The sequence below is a fragment of the Homo sapiens genome, chromosome 8, assembly GCF_000001405.40.
Source record: "Homo sapiens chromosome 8, GRCh38.p14 Primary Assembly".
In the NCBI taxonomy this organism is placed as follows: Eukaryota; Metazoa; Chordata; class Mammalia; order Primates; family Hominidae; genus Homo; species Homo sapiens.
Genome location: NC_000008.11, coordinates 4,417,104 through 4,434,949, shown reverse-complemented (window position 1 = coordinate 4,434,949; position 17,846 = coordinate 4,417,104). Strand labels below are relative to the sequence as shown.

General features: G+C 35.5%; 1 protein-coding gene across 3 annotated transcripts in view; it reads left to right on the top strand.

Moving 5' to 3' along the window:
• Nucleotides 1-17,846, top strand: part of CSMD1 (CUB and Sushi multiple domains 1) — a 2,059,554-nt gene that overhangs the window by 559,965 nt on the left and 1,481,743 nt on the right. For all 3 annotated transcript variants that reach the window (XM_011534752.3, NM_033225.6, XM_017013731.2), the window contains exon 3: nt 14,885-14,997. In XM_011534752.3, coding sequence (XP_011533054.1) covers nt 14,885-14,997 — 113 coding nt within the window. The remainder of the gene's footprint in view (nt 1-14,884; nt 14,998-17,846) is intronic.

Here is a 17,846-nt window from a genome sequence, read left to right as displayed (position 1 = left end):
ATTGGTTTTAACATCTGTTGTCACTTTGTCATGCAGAGTCATGTGCTGACAAAATACAGCATTTTCTTGAGGAAAAAGATGTAGTTTGTTCTTGCGGTTGCCCAGGAGACAGCTATGGATGGTTGAGCCCTGGTGAAGTAGGGCTTCATGGGCGGTGCAGGGTCTGGAGTGTGGAAAGGGTGTGTATTTGACAGTCTAAGAGCTAAGTCCCAAAATCACCGGATGAGCACTGTCAGGGGCATGAAAACATTTGTTACTCTTTGTTCCTTTCCAGTCAAAAAGTAAATCGGGTTTGTGATATGTCTTCCCAGTTGTTACTCTGTCTTTAATTGGGTGGAAATTTTGGATTAGCTTCATTGACTGTAACATGAACTTCCTCCTCCTCTATTGTGTTTTAGTCAATGTTGGGCTGCTCTTAAGTGCTTCATCAGACAATTTTGCTGGGTTTTCTTTTTGTTGTTTCTTTCCTTCTGTTAGAGTGTGGGGACTTCATAGGATGGGTCACAAAGCCAAGGGCTGAGTTCAAAAAGTGGCTTGTGCTGCCAAACACTCAGATTTAGTGTTCTTAGATCCAGTTAGTTAGTTAGAGACAGTCTCATGCTGTTGCCCAGGCTGGAGTGTAATGGTGCAATCTCAGCTCACTGCAACCTCCATCTCCAAGGTTCAAGCAATTCTCTTGCCTCAGCCTCCTGAGTAGCTTTTACAGCCACACCCTATGGAATTAGCTGGGATTACAGGTGCTCATTACCATGCCTGGATAATTTCTGTATTTTTAGTAGAGACTGGTTTTCACCATGTTGGCCAAGCTGTTCTCAAACTCCTGACCTGAAGTGATCTGCCCACTTCAACCTCCCAAAGTGCTGGGATCACAGGCGTGAGTCCCAATGTCCAGCCCCTAGATCCAGATATTTAAAATTCCTTGTCATATCTTTGAAAAGAATTGAAGCTGTTAATCTTGAGGCTGAAGAGAAAATCACTTCCTGGAGCCCACAGTGAATAAACCTCAATTCTACAAGTTTCCCCCTTTTTTGCTGTGTTCTTATCCTGACTTTTGTAGGATTGTCAAAGAAATGGGGCTGTGCCTGTGTGCTTTAGATTCCAGTCTTTTTTCCCTTTTTTTCCAGATTCATTAAAAGTATCTTGCAAAGGACAGAGGTAAATAGACACAAATTTTAAACTCCATCTATAAATTCATAAAGGTGTAGGAAATAAATGTTATTTTTCAATCAAAAGATGGGAATTTTATATATTCACATGCCAGGTGAATGACTGCAAGTGGGAGAGTGTAGCTCTTTCAGACAAGGGCAGATTTGAGCATAAAGAAAACTGGCTTTATCAAATTTGTCGTTTCCCATTTTAAGGGCGCTTTTCATCTCTCTGTTGCAGCACATGTCTGCTTCCACAAGGTTTTTCTTGCCGGCAGGGGGATCTGGGGCTGCCTTGGGAATGAGGGAAACACTTGGCCGCGCTTGCAGATAGCCAGTGCGTTGACCTCGCAGGGAATTGCCTTTAATGTGCCCTATTCCTGGTTCAAAGGTTGATTCTTTTAGTAGAAATTTATGTAATGATGTCATGTCCATGATATTATGAGTTGTATATAATAGCAGTCCCCAACCTTTCTGGTGCCAGGGACCAGTTTCGTGGAAGCCAGTTTTTCTACGGACCAGGGTGTGGGAGGAAATGGTTTCGGGGTCATTCAAATGTAGTACATTTATAATGCACTTTATTTGTAATATTATTATATTGTAATACACAACGAAATAGTTATACAACTCGCCATAATGCAGAATCAGTGGGAGCTCTGAGCTTGTTTTTCTGCAACTGGTCAGTCCCATCTGGAGGTGATGGGAGACAATGACAGATCATCAGGCATTGGATAGTTATAAAGAGTGTGCAACCTCGATCCCTCATATACGTAGTTCACGACAGTGTTGACGCTCCTGTGGGAATGTAATGCTCCCACTGATCTGACAGGAGGGTGGAGCTCAGCTGGTAACGTGAGCCATGGGGAGCAGCTGTGAAAACAACACAGCCTCTCTGGCTTCTGCTGCTCACCCCTTGATGGGCAGCCACATTCGTGGCTCGCGGTTGGAGACCCTTGGTATACAACAGAGTGCTAAAGAAATCTAAATTGTTGGTTGGTTTCTAATCAATAACCAAAATTACTGCTTGGCTTCATATATTTTTATTTCCTCTATGGCCCTGGTTTGAAATCTCCTGTGAACTTTCAGGAGTTAAAAGCACAGGCTCTGGAGAGAGACGCCAGGGTTTGAATCTTGTCTCTCCTGCTCTCCACCTGCATGGTCTTAAGTCAGTTATTAAGGATCTCTGAGGCTTCGTTTCCTCACCTGCAAAAGGAGTGAGCTTTACTGCCTGTCTTTAAGTCATAAGGGTGTTTTATGGATGTTGTGAGAATACAGTGTTTTCACACTCCGAGCATTTACCAGCAGTTAGTAGACACCCCAAGGAGGGTAATTGATACTTGAGTTTTTGTGTCATTAGTCCATTTCTTTTCACCAGGCTCCAAATCTAGGAAATCAACATAACATGAAACCTGCCTTAGTGTAGGTTAATCACTAAGTTCATAGCCAGGGAAGGGGATTCTACAAGCAGTCCTTTGAGTAAGTTACTTAAGCTGCCTAGTCTCTGGGCTCTTGCCTCATAAAAACCTACACCTGGAAAACAGTTAAGTTCCTGTGTGAGTTTACTGTTTTCTCATAACCCATTTGACAAAATTTTTAAATTCCAATTTTACTTTTTCAAACTTCGCAATATAATTGCCAATCATGTTTTTATAATCCATGCATGCTTTAGCAAGGATTTATTTTATATAATCACCTTTTTGAACTCAATAGCCAATATTTCTGTATTCTAATCCTGTCTGTTTTAGTCTGTGAGCACTACCAAATCTCCTTACACATTTTTGCAGGCCTTTTGAGAATACATTGACAAATATAATGAAGTGCATAAATGTAAGTTACTGCCGTGGCTTTTAAAACAATACTGTGTTTATTTGAAGTAATTCCCATTTACCCAATTGTTACATATCATTCACATATTTTAATAGTATATATAATAAATTTTATTCCACCAAGAAAATAGGCCCACATTTCGTAGTACTTTATCTTGGATGTGTATGTTACCAACTTATTAAGCATTTGCTACATTTCTAATACATGCCAGGTTACTGAAGTTTGGTTTCAAAATTGTTAGAACAACAATTGATTCCATTGTCTTAATTCTGCTGTCAGGATTTAGGATTCTTTTGTTTCATTCCTCTATCTTTTCTTCCTTTCCAGTTAGCCTCTGTTTTTTGTTTGTCTGTTTTTCGTTTTGGTTTTGGTTTTTGCCACAAAGAGGTAGCCTCAGAGCAAAGTTTTGAAATGGGGCCGGGGCTGGTGTAGATTATCAGGGTCGGGTGTTATAAAGTGTAACTGAGTAGCAATTGGTCTCTACTTGGTCTCTCTACTTTCTTCTCTCTCTGCCCTCCTCTCCTGACTGTGTGCTCACTCGCTCTCCTCTCACCTTGTTCCTCCTTCAATCTAAGTTTGTGCGTATGGTTCTAAGTGCAATGAATTCCTCCCAACTATTGGTTTCAATTTTATAGACGTTAGGTTCACCCTTAAGAAAATCACGAAGTAAAAATACAGTTTGTGAGATATGATAAAATAAATTTGCATATTATTATTTAACATCTTTGAGCCATTTCACTATTTTTTTAATGTTGTTGAGATAATGAAAACAGACCTGGAATAAACTCTAGGGGTCACTACCTACTCCCCTCCCTTGCCTTTGAGCAAATCATTTAGAGCCTCACCTCTTTTTCTACAGTCATGTGGTCTGTTTAAGATTAAATATATTAACACTAATGATCATAGAAGAAAATAAAATGGACACTCCACGAGTTATTCTGAAGAAGCACAGGTCTTATGCGAAGTCTTTCCAGAGAAAAGTGGCATAACTGAGGGGAGAAAAGATTGAAAGGACATCTTGATATAAAAATTCTAGTAGTGAATTTTACACTGTTAAGATAATTTATGGATCCTTACCATTCAGGAGAAGCTGGTGCTGATCACACAGAAGGCAAAGAGTGGAGGGGACAACACTGGAGTGAAGTATTTGCAGTGACAATTGACAGGAAAAACGCTGTTACTGTTTTAATGTCATTTGTAAATGGTTTGATTGTCATAAACATACATTATGTGGATGCTGTTTCATGCTTGGGGGCAAAATCTCTTTAGATTTTTTGTTTCCGATAGTCTATTACAGACACTGTAATTATAACTTGCCCAAAATAACTTGGTGCATTGATTAAAAAAAAGAGGATCAGTTGAATTCTTGACAAACTTGTCTAGAATGCAATTTGGGGAAAATTTATTTTCTTCCCCAGAGTAACTTTTATTAGAGAGTAGTGTCTATCAGAGTGTAATTTCTTAGGAGGAAATTTTTGTTTAGTGCAAATTATGATATACCATGTCTATTAAATCACCATAACCAAATGAAATTCCTCTCAGGGTCCCGGGAGAAGGTAGACTATGTCATAACCATGAGGTAAACAATGATATATTTGAATAAACTGATAAGCCTTTAATGATGTAAGCCTTTTAGGAAGGAAAACTATCAGTTAAAGCAATATGCAGTGGTTTAACTGCAATATTTTTTCAGCACCAAAACATAAGATGTGATTTTAGAAAATTTCTTCTCCGACCCAGTATTCATGGCATGAGAAAGCTGGGGCCTAACTCCTGAGATAAAGGGGCACCTTGCTTAGGAAAGCACACGTAGGATAGATTCTGACATAGATTTGCTTTGTGGAATCAGCACATTTAGCTTTATTTATAAACCTCACTTCTGGGATTTAAACATTAAGTTTTGTTTCTGCTTTTATACTTCCTGGTTGATTCTGAAAACTCAGGCAGTCGATTTCATTTCAGTGGGAAGGCACTTAAGGAGACCTCATCTTCCAGCTCAGCTTCCAGTGGATTCTCCCCTTTGCCTCTTGTCTTTTTCATTCCCTGATGGGTGACCACTGATTGAATCCCCAAGTCTTGGCCAAAAATGGAGGAGAGGATTCCCTCATTTCATAGAACTTAACTGAATGGGCGTGGATTTCTTCCCGAGCCAATGAGATCCTGGGTATGATGGGAGGGGATTGCCGGTATATTTCAACAAATACGGGTGGAGCACTTCTAGAATCTCAGCATACGGCTGTGGGTTACAGGAGACCCACTTCTGCCCTCATGGAGCTCCTGTTCTTTTGGGGTATTGGGGTCCATCTCTTGGGGTACCCAGCATGAAGGGCCCTCCTCTGTGCATTCGTTTCTCTCTCTGGAATAGTCTCTAAACTTTGACTTTCTTTGCCTCCTAAATCAGTATGGACCAAATCCTTCTGTAATGAGTCTCACGCTTTTGCAATTTTCTGATCCAACTTGAATTCTACAAATTATATAAGCTAATCTGTTTCCCAATTGACAGGAGGAGTTGCCAAAGAACCAAACTGAGCCACTGTTCACAAAACATTGTGTGAAAGGAGGATGCTTTTTCTTTGTCCGATATAGTTTGTATATGTAGATGTGTGTGTGTAAAATGTGTGTATATCTATGTATACACACATATACACATGTAAAGCTCTTGAAGAGCAGTGAAGCAAAATTGATGAGAAATTATTCTCTTCAACAAGAAGTGATAGGACTGTTGAAATCTCATGATGTTTTTAAAACATAACCAGATATTCGTGTAAGGCAGGCATGATCCTTTTAGAATTCTATCCAATTATATAAATATATATTATATATAATAATCCAATTATATATCAGTTTTCATAGAAAAAAACTGATTACCAGTAGTAATCATTTTATGATGGACATATATACTGAGACATTGTATTGTACACTGTAAGTATGTAAAACTCTTATTAAAAAAATACCTAAGATAAGGCCGACGTGCAGTGCCTTATGCCTATATTCCCAGCACTTTGGGAGGATGAGGCAGGTGGATCACTTCAAGTCAGGAATCTGAGACCAGCCTGGCCAAATGGTGAAACCCTGTCTCTGTTAAAAATGCAAAAATTAGCTGGACGTGGTGGTGCCTGTAATCCCAGATACTCAGGAGGCTGAGGCAGGAGAATCCTTCAACCTGGGAGGTGGAGGTTGCAGTGAGCCAAGATCACGCCACTGCACTCCAGCCTGGGCGACAAAGCTAGACTCCTTCTCAATAAATAAATAAATAATACACAAAATAACCAAATTTAAAATGAACCCTGGATTATTAATATGACATTATCAGCTATTTTAATAAGCCCTAAAAGTTCTGTAGTTTCCGTGTTTCCTAAAGGAACTTGAGCACATCTAGTATTACTGAAAGTGTCATAAGGTAAGTTGCAAGTTTATTGTAGGAAAATACATGTTAACATACTTCTGTGTGTATACCTGCTCTGACATGTAGAGAGAGATACACATATGCCAGGCATGCAGCCTTTTTACTCCAGAAATTAATGTGAAAAACCATTTCCATATTGCATTAGCAAATCATTTAGGTATTCCTATTGAACTACAGCTTACAAGGAAGATAACAAGCTACCTAGAATTACTTTTAATCCCTAGTAGGTACTAGATGATAGAGAAAGGTGTTGGGACTCGTTAGATGTGAAGTAGTTGTCTTGGTACAAGCTGTCCTGATTTTCCTTGTATCAAGTTGATAGTCTCCTAGTTGTCTTGTGTTTAGAATGTGTGGTTCAGTGGACACAGTACAAGTGAACATGGGTTTGTTTTCCTTTTAAGTGAAGCCAGATTCACATAGATGTGGTGGGTGCTTTGGAGAGGAGGAAAACAGGCATCAGAGATGTATCCCATTCACTCTTGATATTGTCTGATATGAAAACGAGACATGTAACCTTCATGTCTTAACAATAGCAATGAAAGGCTTCAAGTACAGTAGCTACTTGGAATATCTTTACTACTGGGCCAATGAGGTGTCACAGCAAGGAGTCAGAAAAACATTTGAAAACATAACTTTAAATAAAGTGCCTTAAATAAAGGGCAGTCTGTGCCCTAGAGACATTATATTAAGTAGTGATCCCTGACTTTAAAATTCAACAGGGTTTTAAGAAAAAGAATTATTCAATAGGTTAAACATGCATATATTTGTATGGGTTATACATTGTGATAAAAATCTGTAATTGAAGTTTCTATTGAGAGATTTATATACTTTATATTAATAGTTTCAAATTAGTGATATGCTGAATAGAACAGAAAAATACATAAATGTAATAGGTACTATTTTCTGAGGCCAAAAGTTAACGTATAAAAATAATGTAATTATTACATGGAATTTACAATAATTTTTACTTCGAGTCTCTCTCCAAATGATGGCGGACATTTTAATCTGGTAAGATGTATATATACTCACATGATTCACTGTGTGTGTTTGAGTGTGCATGTGTGTGTGTGTGTGTGTGTGTGTATTTGATTAAGTCTCTTCTGAACTTTGCCTGCTTGATTGCATCTTCCCCGGATGGTATCTAAGTCCAAGAGAGTTCTATGACCCCAAGGTACCTAGGGGTTGATAAAGCACCTGGTTCCAGATCACCCTCTGCCGTGTCCTGACACAGTTTGACATGTAACTCACTGCATCCAGTATTTTGTCAACAGTACCAAGACCTGCTCACCAAGGCCACATAACTCAAGTGATCTCTTGGACTGAGGACCATTCAGGGCACGGCGTGTGCCTCTCTTGGGCTCAGGAATCGTTAGATGGTCCCTGCACACCCATCTGGACTTACCCATTGTGTAGATTCTGTCCTCACCACCCCTACCTGGCAGGAGAGGCTTTCTATAAGGATGGTGACCTCCCAGGAGCCACAGCCACCTGTGCTCTTTGATCTCCCAAGCTCTCTGGGGCTGTTCCGTCTACACCAGTTCTCGTGGGGACATGATCACTGATCACTTCTTGATATCTAAATTGTCCCCATCCCTAGACCAGGCCAGTCTTATCCAGTGACCGAATACTTCTACCATAATTTCTCTTCTATATAAAATAAAAAGCTGAAACACCTGACATCTGATACTAATACCCCTTCCCACTTTTGAATTCTGCTATAATATAGTACATAATATAGTATACTATGTATCATGTAATATTACATACTATATTTCTATATTATATAATATCATCTGTATTGTAATATAAAATATTACTATATTACTATATTGTATAATAAATGTATATAGTAATAAAATATTACTGCATTATATAATAAAAATATTACTATATTATATAATAAAATATTACTATAAAATATGAATAACAAAATATTACTATATTATATAGTAAACAATATAATTTATAGTATATATACTATACTGCACATACTGTGTATATATACTATACTATAGTAAATATCCTATATATTATACAGTATAAAATACTACAGTCTTTATAAAATATATAAAAACTTTACTATATATGTCATATATATAAACTGTAGTCTGTATGTTTACTATATATGCTCTATATAGTATATGTTTATGATATTGTATATATAGTATATAAAAAGGTTTACTATATATACTACATACAAAATATATAAAAAGGATTTTCAAAATTATATGCTATATACTACATAATTAAAAAAACTTTTTATATCTACAACAAATTTTGGATGAATTCTAGAACAGAAATTGGAATAACTTATAAAAAATAAGTTATTTTACTGGAAAACTTGTCCGGTAACTATAGATAAAAGGCTTCTTAATTCACAGATTCCAGTCTATTTCCTGATTACCTAGCCTCTGTATATGCTGTCTGGAAATTAATGTCAGTCTCTCTGTCACATCCATAGGCGATAAGATTTTTTTTTTTTTCAAAATAATTCCTTTTATTTATGGCCAGTTTTCTTCAGTAAAATTTCATAATCCCTTGGAGATTTGGAAAACACATTTTAAAATGTTTAATGTATACCTCTTTAATTTTGGGCTATGTCTACCTCTCTAAAATGAAGATACTTTAGCATGCTTGTATTTTTTGTAAAACACTAAAAAATTACGATAGGGAGTAACATATGTCATATTTTGTTGAAATATTCAAAGTTTATCAGTAACGTTGCATATACTAAAATATTCCCGTACTACCCTGGACCATCAAATATGAATGACAGAAGGAAGACTTGCTACTGCAAGACACCTGTGTGGATTATTGGGATTTACTTCAAAATCCATTTTACTTCAAAATGTTTCGTAATTTACTATGTGTTGAAAATAAGCCAGTTGCTTATAAGAAGCAGGGATTCCTCAAAGTGAGGCAGACAAGAATAAAATGTATCGCAAGGGCCCTCATGGAAAGGATACTCACAGAAGTACTTTCATGTCTTCAGGAGCACATTTGTGAGCCACCAAGGAGTGAGTCTTGCCAGCTCCTTATAAGATTCCTTACTCGCAGCCAGTGTGGAGTAAATGGCTATAAACATTTAATCACAAATTTAGCTCTTGAAAGCTCTTTATGATCAATTGGATCCACTCATCCTTCCGCATCCCTGTCAACTAATGTTGGACTCTATTTTTTTTTTTTTTTTTTGGCACACAAATAAGAATGAATCCATTTCATTGCAGCTATTTGAAATCAGATCACATGCATATATTTTCCCTACATACGTCCATATTAAATTACCCCAAACCTCTGAACAGTAGTCTTATGACACTCGTTTTAAAAATCCCTTAGTATCTTGTTCCTACTTCCTGAACTAATATCATTTGACCACACCCCTTCGTAATCACAATTTTTTATAAAACTTAATAATTTAAAGGGACATGAAATTGTATTTAATTAAGTGCTATCACATTATTTTGTACCTAACTTAGGCGAATATATATGTAAAACTTCAAGATGGGCAATTACTAAATTATCCTCAATAGTTTTTGTTCAACTTACTTTTAGAATTTAATGTTTTGTTATTAAATAGCATTATTTTGGTTACTAGATTATTTTAATCTTAATATGTTCTTGAGTACCTCTCAGTCTCAACCTTTCCAATGTATTTAATTATTTAATGTGAGATCATTATAGATTCACATGTAGTTAAAAGAAATTATACAAAGAGTTTCTGTGTACTGTATACCAGTTTCTCAAGTGGAAACCACCGGCAAAACTATGGTATAATAATTACACAACCGAATATTGATGCATTATGGTGAAGATAGGGACAGTTTCCCATCATGAGCATTTCTAGGGCAAATGCAGAGAAGAACAATTGTTTGGTCAGATGGCAGTTACGTGTTTCGTTTTTAAAGGAAATGTCAAACTTCTTCGGAAGTTTTCTGTTTTCTACAGAAAATGGCTGTACCATTTTATATTTCCACCAGCAGTATAAGAGCAACCAATTTTCTCCACGTTCTAGCCAGCATGTGATGTTGTCATTATTTATTTTTATTTCAGCTATTCTGATTGGCTGAAATATCATGTGCGGTATTTCTCTGTGGTTTTAATTTGCATTCCTCTGATGTCTATTGATGTAGAGTAAATATTCGTGGGCTTATTTGCCGTCTGGATGTCCTTTAGGTCACCTGACTTTTCTGCTTGTTGCCTATTTTCTAATTGGATTGTTTGCCTTTTGTTGTTGAGTCTGGAGAGTTCATGGTATATTCTAGATACTTGTCTTTTGTCAGATATTTGGCTTGCGAATGTGTTTTCCCAGTCTGCAGCATACACTTTTATTCTCTTAATGCGGTCTTTTGCAGCCAAAGTTTTTAATTTTTATGAAATCCAATTTATTAACTTATCTTTTTCTGGTTTGTAATTTTGGTGTCAAGCATAGAAACTCTGTCTAGCCCTAGACTCAAAAGCCTTTCCCCTATTTTTTTCCTAAGAGTCTAATTGCTTTACATTTTACATTTATATTTGTAATCCACATTGAGGTAATTTTTATATAAGGTGTTAAACTTACTATTTGCTATGGACATCCAATTGATCCATCATAATTTGTTGGTTTATTCTATGCAATTTCTTTTGAATCTGTTGAAAATAAATTGGAGATATTTGTTCAGGTTTATTTTTGGGTTCTTTGTTCTGATCCATTGACATACGGGTTTATGTCTTTGCCAATCTGCCGATACCAAATAGTCTTAACCGTTGTAGATATAAAATAAGTCTTGAAATCAGGTGAACTGTTTCTCCTGCTTTATTCTTCTCTCGCAAAATGTTTGAGCTATTCTATTTTTTTTTGTTTGTTTGCCTTCCCACATAAATTTTAGAAAGATCTTGCTATATACCCAAAAATTCTTGCTGGGATTTTGGTGGAAATTGTGTAAAACCTGTGTATCAGTTTGGAAGTAACCTATATCTTTACATTATTGAGTCTTCCATCTTCCATACTATTAACATGGTATATCTGTCCATTTATTTAGCATTTCTTTGAACTTTTTCTTCAGTGTTGTGTACTTTTCTGTATACACTGTTGGGCTTATCTTATTGTATTTATACAGAAGCTTTTCTTTGAGCTGTTGTGATTGATGTATTTCAGATTTTGATGTCAACGTGTTCATTGCTAGTATGTAGAACTACAATAGATTTTTGTATGTTCATTATGTGCCTTGCACGTTTGATGATATCAAGTATTAGCTCTACAAATTTTCTTGTAGATTCCTTGGCATTTTCTATAAAGATCATCATGCCAACTTCAAATAGTAGTAATTTTATTTATTCCTATCTGACCCATACGCATATATTTTCTTTTCTTGTATTATTGTATTTGCAGGATATTCCAGCACGATATTGAATAAGAATGTTCAAAGCATTCTTGACTTGTTCAAATTTCTTGACTTGTTTCCAGTCTTAGGCAGAAGCATTCAGTCTTCAACCACTAAGCAAAATGTTATCTTTAGGCTTTTTTAAATTTTTTTTATTTTTGTAGAGATATTCTTTGTCAAGTTGGAGAAGATTCCTTCCAATCATATGTTACTGAGAACTTTTCTCATGTTCAATGATTATTATTGTCAAATGTTTTTTTCTACATAGATTACTATGATCTTGTGATTTTACTTTGTTAGCCCATTAATATTGCAGATTATATGGATTAATTTTCAAAGATTGGACCTTTCTAACATTCCTCTAATAAACACCATTTGATCATCGTGTATAATTCGTATCTTGCCTATTTCTATTTTCTCTTACTTGGTTAAGGATTTTTGCATCTATATGCATGAGAGACATTATTTTATTTTTCTTTTTTCTGTGTTTATCTGGTTTTGATATTAGAGTGTCTTAGTCTCTTTAGGCTGCCATAACAAACTACTATAAGTTCCAGGGATTAAGAAATACAGGTTTATTTTTTCACAGTTCTGGAGTCTGAAAGTCTGAGATCAGGGTCCAGAATAGTCAGTTCCTGGTGAGGGCTCTCTTCCTGACTTGTAGACAGCATCCTTCCTGTTCCATGCTCACATGGTCTTTTCTCAGTATGTGTCCAGGGAGAAAGGAATCCTTCTCTTTTCTTATTTTTACCGTATGCTTACCCTATGGGATCAGAGTCCGAATTATTTGACATCATTTAACTATAATTACCTCTGTAAAGCCCCATTTCCAAATCTAGTTATGTTGGGGGTTGGGGCTTCAGTATATGAATTGGTGGGAGGAGCATAATTCAGCCCATAAGGGAAAGGGTAGTGTCAATGCCACAAAATTACTACAAAAGCATTCTATCCACTTACACTTTCTGGAAGAGACTGTGTAGAATTAGTGTTAATTCTTTAAAGTGTGTACGACTGGTGTTAATTATTTAAATGTAGAATTCTCCAGTGGGAACATTTGGAACTGGAAATTTGGGGAAAGTTTTAATAGCTATAGGATAATTCATATTATGTATTTTTTCATTGGTTAGTTGTAATAGTTCATTTGTTTGAGTTAGTGACCCATATTGTCTTAGTTGCCAATTTTACATATGTAGTTTCTGTAGTAACTTTTATTATCTTTATGATGAATTCTGAGTTCATAGTAATATTTGATGTTTAATGACAGTGACTCTTTGTACCTTCTGAAACTCCCAATTATTTAGTCAGTCTTTTTCAATTTTATTTTCCCAAAGAACTGGCTCTTTCATTATTTGTTCTTTTTTCTTTCAATTTTATTGATTTCTGTACTTTTCTTGTTTTTTGCTTTCTGTTTGCTTTAGTTTTTTTTGTTTTTTTCTTTTATAGTTCTTGCAATAAGAATTTGGATTAGGGATTTGGGAGTTTTTCTAAGCTGTGTTTTTAGTGCGACTAATTACCTTCTCAGCACTGCTTAGCTGAGTCTTACAAAGTTTAATATGTTGTATTTTATATTTTCATTCAGTTTATCTGTATTTTTATTTTCCTTGAGACTTTCTCTTTGGCCCCTGGATTATTTAGAAGTGTGTTGTTTATTTTCCAAGTAATTAGATATTTTTCTGTCATTTTTATCTTACTGATTTCTAATTTGATTCCACTGTGTGGTCAGAGAACACACGCTATATGATTTCAGTTATTTTATATAGTTTGAGGTTTGTTTTATGGCCTCGAATATGGTTTATCTTGGTATATGTTCTGTGGGCACCTGAAAGAAATGTGTACTCTGTTCTTGCTGGGTAAAGTGTACTATAAATATTGATTAAATACTGTTATATAGGGTTGATGAGTTCTGTATTCTTGCTGGTCTTCAGTCACAGGAGAATTTAAACTCACTGTTTTTTGTTTTTTGTTTTTCCTTTCTTAAAGCAACGTTTGCTTCACTGACTTGTCTTCTGTATTGCGTTCGCTAACACATAAAGTACAAAGCAGTGTCTTCTGGTATGACAATGGTTTCTTTTTCCATTCATCAGTCATTTACTCCTTCATGTGAATGCACTGTCTGAAAGTTGTTTGGATTGGCATCCAATGGGAAAAAATGAACAAATGAGTCTCTTTAAGGGGACTGAATTAAAAAATAAAAGCAGACAGCAGATACTGCAGTTTACAAAGATGAATACAATTTGAGAGTTGAAGATCCCCGTGAATTGTACCAGATAAGAAAGGTGATAAACCAAAAGACAGGGAGGGAGGAGGGCTCCTAGGAGGGTGAAAGAGGACAGACCAGGCTTCACAGCACAGGAGTTTGTGGATTTTATAACATAAAAAATAAGCTACTTACCAGAATGTGGGTATTCTCAGCATTCTTATGTTGGGAGTCCTATTGTGGATCACAGAGCTGTGTCAGCATTGGTTTGCCCTCTAGACGGCTCACAGCCTATTGCACGGGGCCTTTGCTATCCTGACCATCTCACTCACTTTTCCTAAGAGCACAGCTTGGAATCCAACTGAAACACAGATTGTTTCACGACCAACTCAGTGGTTTTGCAATACTTTCATGTTTGAGTGCACAAATGTTTATACACACATTCACATGCTTTACCTGTCATATTTTTTATTAGAAAAAAATTAAAAATAGTGAATTAGGAAAAATAGATAATGCATGCTGGGCTTCATACCGACGTGATGGGTTGAGAGGTGCAGCAAACCACCATGACGCACCTTCACCTACCTAATAAACCTGCACATATTGCACATGTACCCTATAACTTAAAAATTCAAATAAAAAAAAAAGTTGGCAGTAGATAATTGCCATCCAAAAACGAGGAGCATTTAAGACAATGGCATATTATATAAGTAAGTATTTTCAAGAAGAAATTCTCTCAAGTTATTTAAATAAACATATTCTCATACTTGAAAATGTTTAATTTCAAATACTTAACAACCAAAGCTATGTGTATGGATTATCTAAGTGTTTAATGCCATATTTCAAGTGAATATACCACTGTTCAAGTTATTCAGTGACTTCATCAAATAAGCTTTTTTTGACAAATTCATGCTTTTAACTCTCTTTGTGTCTTGTCTTTTAAATTTAGATTATCGGGATTTCAGCTGCCCTCCTCTATAGTGAGTACAGGATCTATCCTCACTCTGTGGTTCACGACAGACTTCGCTGTGAGTGCCCAAGGTTTCAAAGCATTATATGAAGGTAGGAGATTGGTTGTGTTTTGCACATGCATTCACTGTCCAAATGATCTAATACATGCTACACTGGATTAATAATGACAAACTAGGCTGCTATGTCGCAGGTCGTTCCGTGGTGTAGACATTTGGCTTCTGTGTAATGCAATGGCATTTGGTAACACTGTTATAATCGCCAAACTTTCCAGCCCAAAACGTGTTCACAATTTTCTTCTTATCACTAGAACTTTTCTTCTTGGGGTTTTGTTTTGGTTAATTTGTAGCGAATAAGTTTTGAGAAATTTGACTATAAACTAATAGCCCTCTTACGTGGTAAAGAGTTCATTTTTAATGCAGAAGAGTTTCATTAAATTTTTGGTTGGACAATTATACTGATAGTGCTTGAGTAAAGGAAATTTCATTAAATGAACTTTTGTTGTCAAAGCTGAAATTTTTAAGAGAGAAAATTAATTTGCTTTTACTGTTGTTTGATCATGCAAGGCATAGAGACTTATTTGTTTTCATGTCTTCAGATTTTGTGCCTAGATACCTTTGAGGTATTGCTATCATTATTAAAACGGCTTTTGGCAGAAATTTTTTTTAAATGCAGAGATAGAACTTTGGAAAAGGAAATTATCATTTCAAGTATTAGGTTTTAAGAAATTGAACTAGTTAATACTTTAAAGGCCGATGTGTGTCTACTTTTGTTTTGGATGGAGATTTTAAATTGCCTTTTACACGTAATACAAGAGCTACTGTCTGTAACAGAAACTCTGGAGTCTGTAAATTTAAAAAGCAATCTATCGTTAGGGGTGTAAACCAATTCCTATTTACAACACACACTGTTTACTTGGGATGTCATTTGCTACTAAGTCACAAATTATATATTCTTACTGGGAATACTCTGCATTTAGGCAAAAATCGTATTTTGTGGGAAGTTAAAATATACACGTGGTTTGTGCAAATGGGTGGCTGTAGTGAAATTAGCAGAAAATTACAGTGTAGAAGGTTCTCTTTGCAGAGACATAGGAATGGACCGACTTATCCTTTTGCTTAAAGTTACGTGTGGAATAATGCTGAGAATGGTCTGCGATTCTGCCTCTAATGTCTTTCATGCCACCGCATTTGTGCATAAGCCAGCGTCAGTGGCTGGAAAGGGTCTATCACCTTTAAGTACGTTACTATCAAGGAATAAGTTAATCTTTGGAAAGCAGCAGGCTAATTGAAGATCAGTGGATGTTATTAGCTTTCAGTTTTGATTGTATCATTGATGATATCAATGTACCACTTCATATAAACTCTAAATTCACATCATTTCATTTTTTGCAGAATATTACAAAAGCATCTCTAAAGCAATCCATACCAGCTATATGCCAGGCATATTTTGTCCTGTTAACATACAATATTTGTTCAGAAAATAGATAATGCTTCCACATTTTAGAAAACTTGGCATTTTTTTCTCCCCTCCTGATGAAGTTGATAGCTGAAAAGGTGGTCTTGTTAGATTCCCAAAATTAATGTTGTGAAAACTCCATCGCTGTTGAGAAATCACTATATGAATAATTCTATCAAATATTTCTGGGCTATTTCTGGGTTTACTGGTGGTCATGATGGTATAATGAAGAAAATAGGGCAAGATTGTCTATGTTGGAAAAATATTTCTTTGTTACTCCAAAAGATCAACTGAAAAACTTTCTAGAAAATGGAATAGGGCCATAAGTTGAGTAACTTGGATTTATTTTTTAATGTGGCTATGTAGAAAATGATTTTGTGGTATTTCGATTTGAAATGGTGATATTATAGTCTGATGTTGACAAGTGAAGACAAACCTCTATTTAAAAGAAAAAAACCTGTCAAAAAGGTGCTTTGTTGGCTAAACCAAAATTGTATCTAGTATTTAGTATGTGTGTGTTTAAATCTATTTATCAGTTAGCTTCCAGGTCTCCTGCAAAAATGAGTGTGCGTTATTTGGAGAAAAATTATCAATTATAGTCTTAAGTGGAAGAGTAAGGTAAGATAATCTAGAGTAGAAGAGAGCTTTTATAGCAATATTTATTGCAAGTACCAAATACTTTACACATAAACTTTAGACAACTATTACTTTCCAAGGAAATGTCATGGGAAAAGGTCAGAATTTATTAAGAGTGCATAAAATAAGCAAATACACCAATTTGTACATGTATATATATGTATATGAAGTAGAATTAATGATAATAATTAGAAAAATGTTTCAAGTTGATTTAGAGTCACAAAATTCTCTTTCTGATACCTCAGATTTCCTCTTTTCCCATTAGTTTTTATTTTGGAGAGACTGCCCACGGATCCTGTTATTTGACCCACCAAGTAATTGGTATGAGTCAAATAATAGAATAAAATACTGATGTATAATCCAAGACGTATAAAGGCAACTGGATTTAGATATAAAATGAACTTTCATATTATAATAAATTCATGTTTTTTTATTTAACTAAAACATGGAATTGTGGTAGTATTAACAGACTGCTGCATAAAATTTTAATTGAAATGTATTGGCTTGAAAGGAGAAGAATCTTCCAAAGTTCTAAGATCTATGTAAACATGATAACCTTGGGAATAAACATAATCCGGACACCAAACTCAACTGTTGTCTGGCAGTACTTTGGAATAGGCTTTATTTACATAAACTATTATTCACACATGGAACTATTAAGCTACATAATGAGAATAGAAACAAATTAAAATAGTGTAATCAACGTGTTCAGTCATTGAATTTAACTCTGGAAATCCAGTGGGAACACTGATAAATTTTATACTAACATTGATTATTTACAGTATTTGACTTTCTGAATATAGACCTCAGCAAGTCTCAGCAATTAAGTGTATATATTCAAATTAACA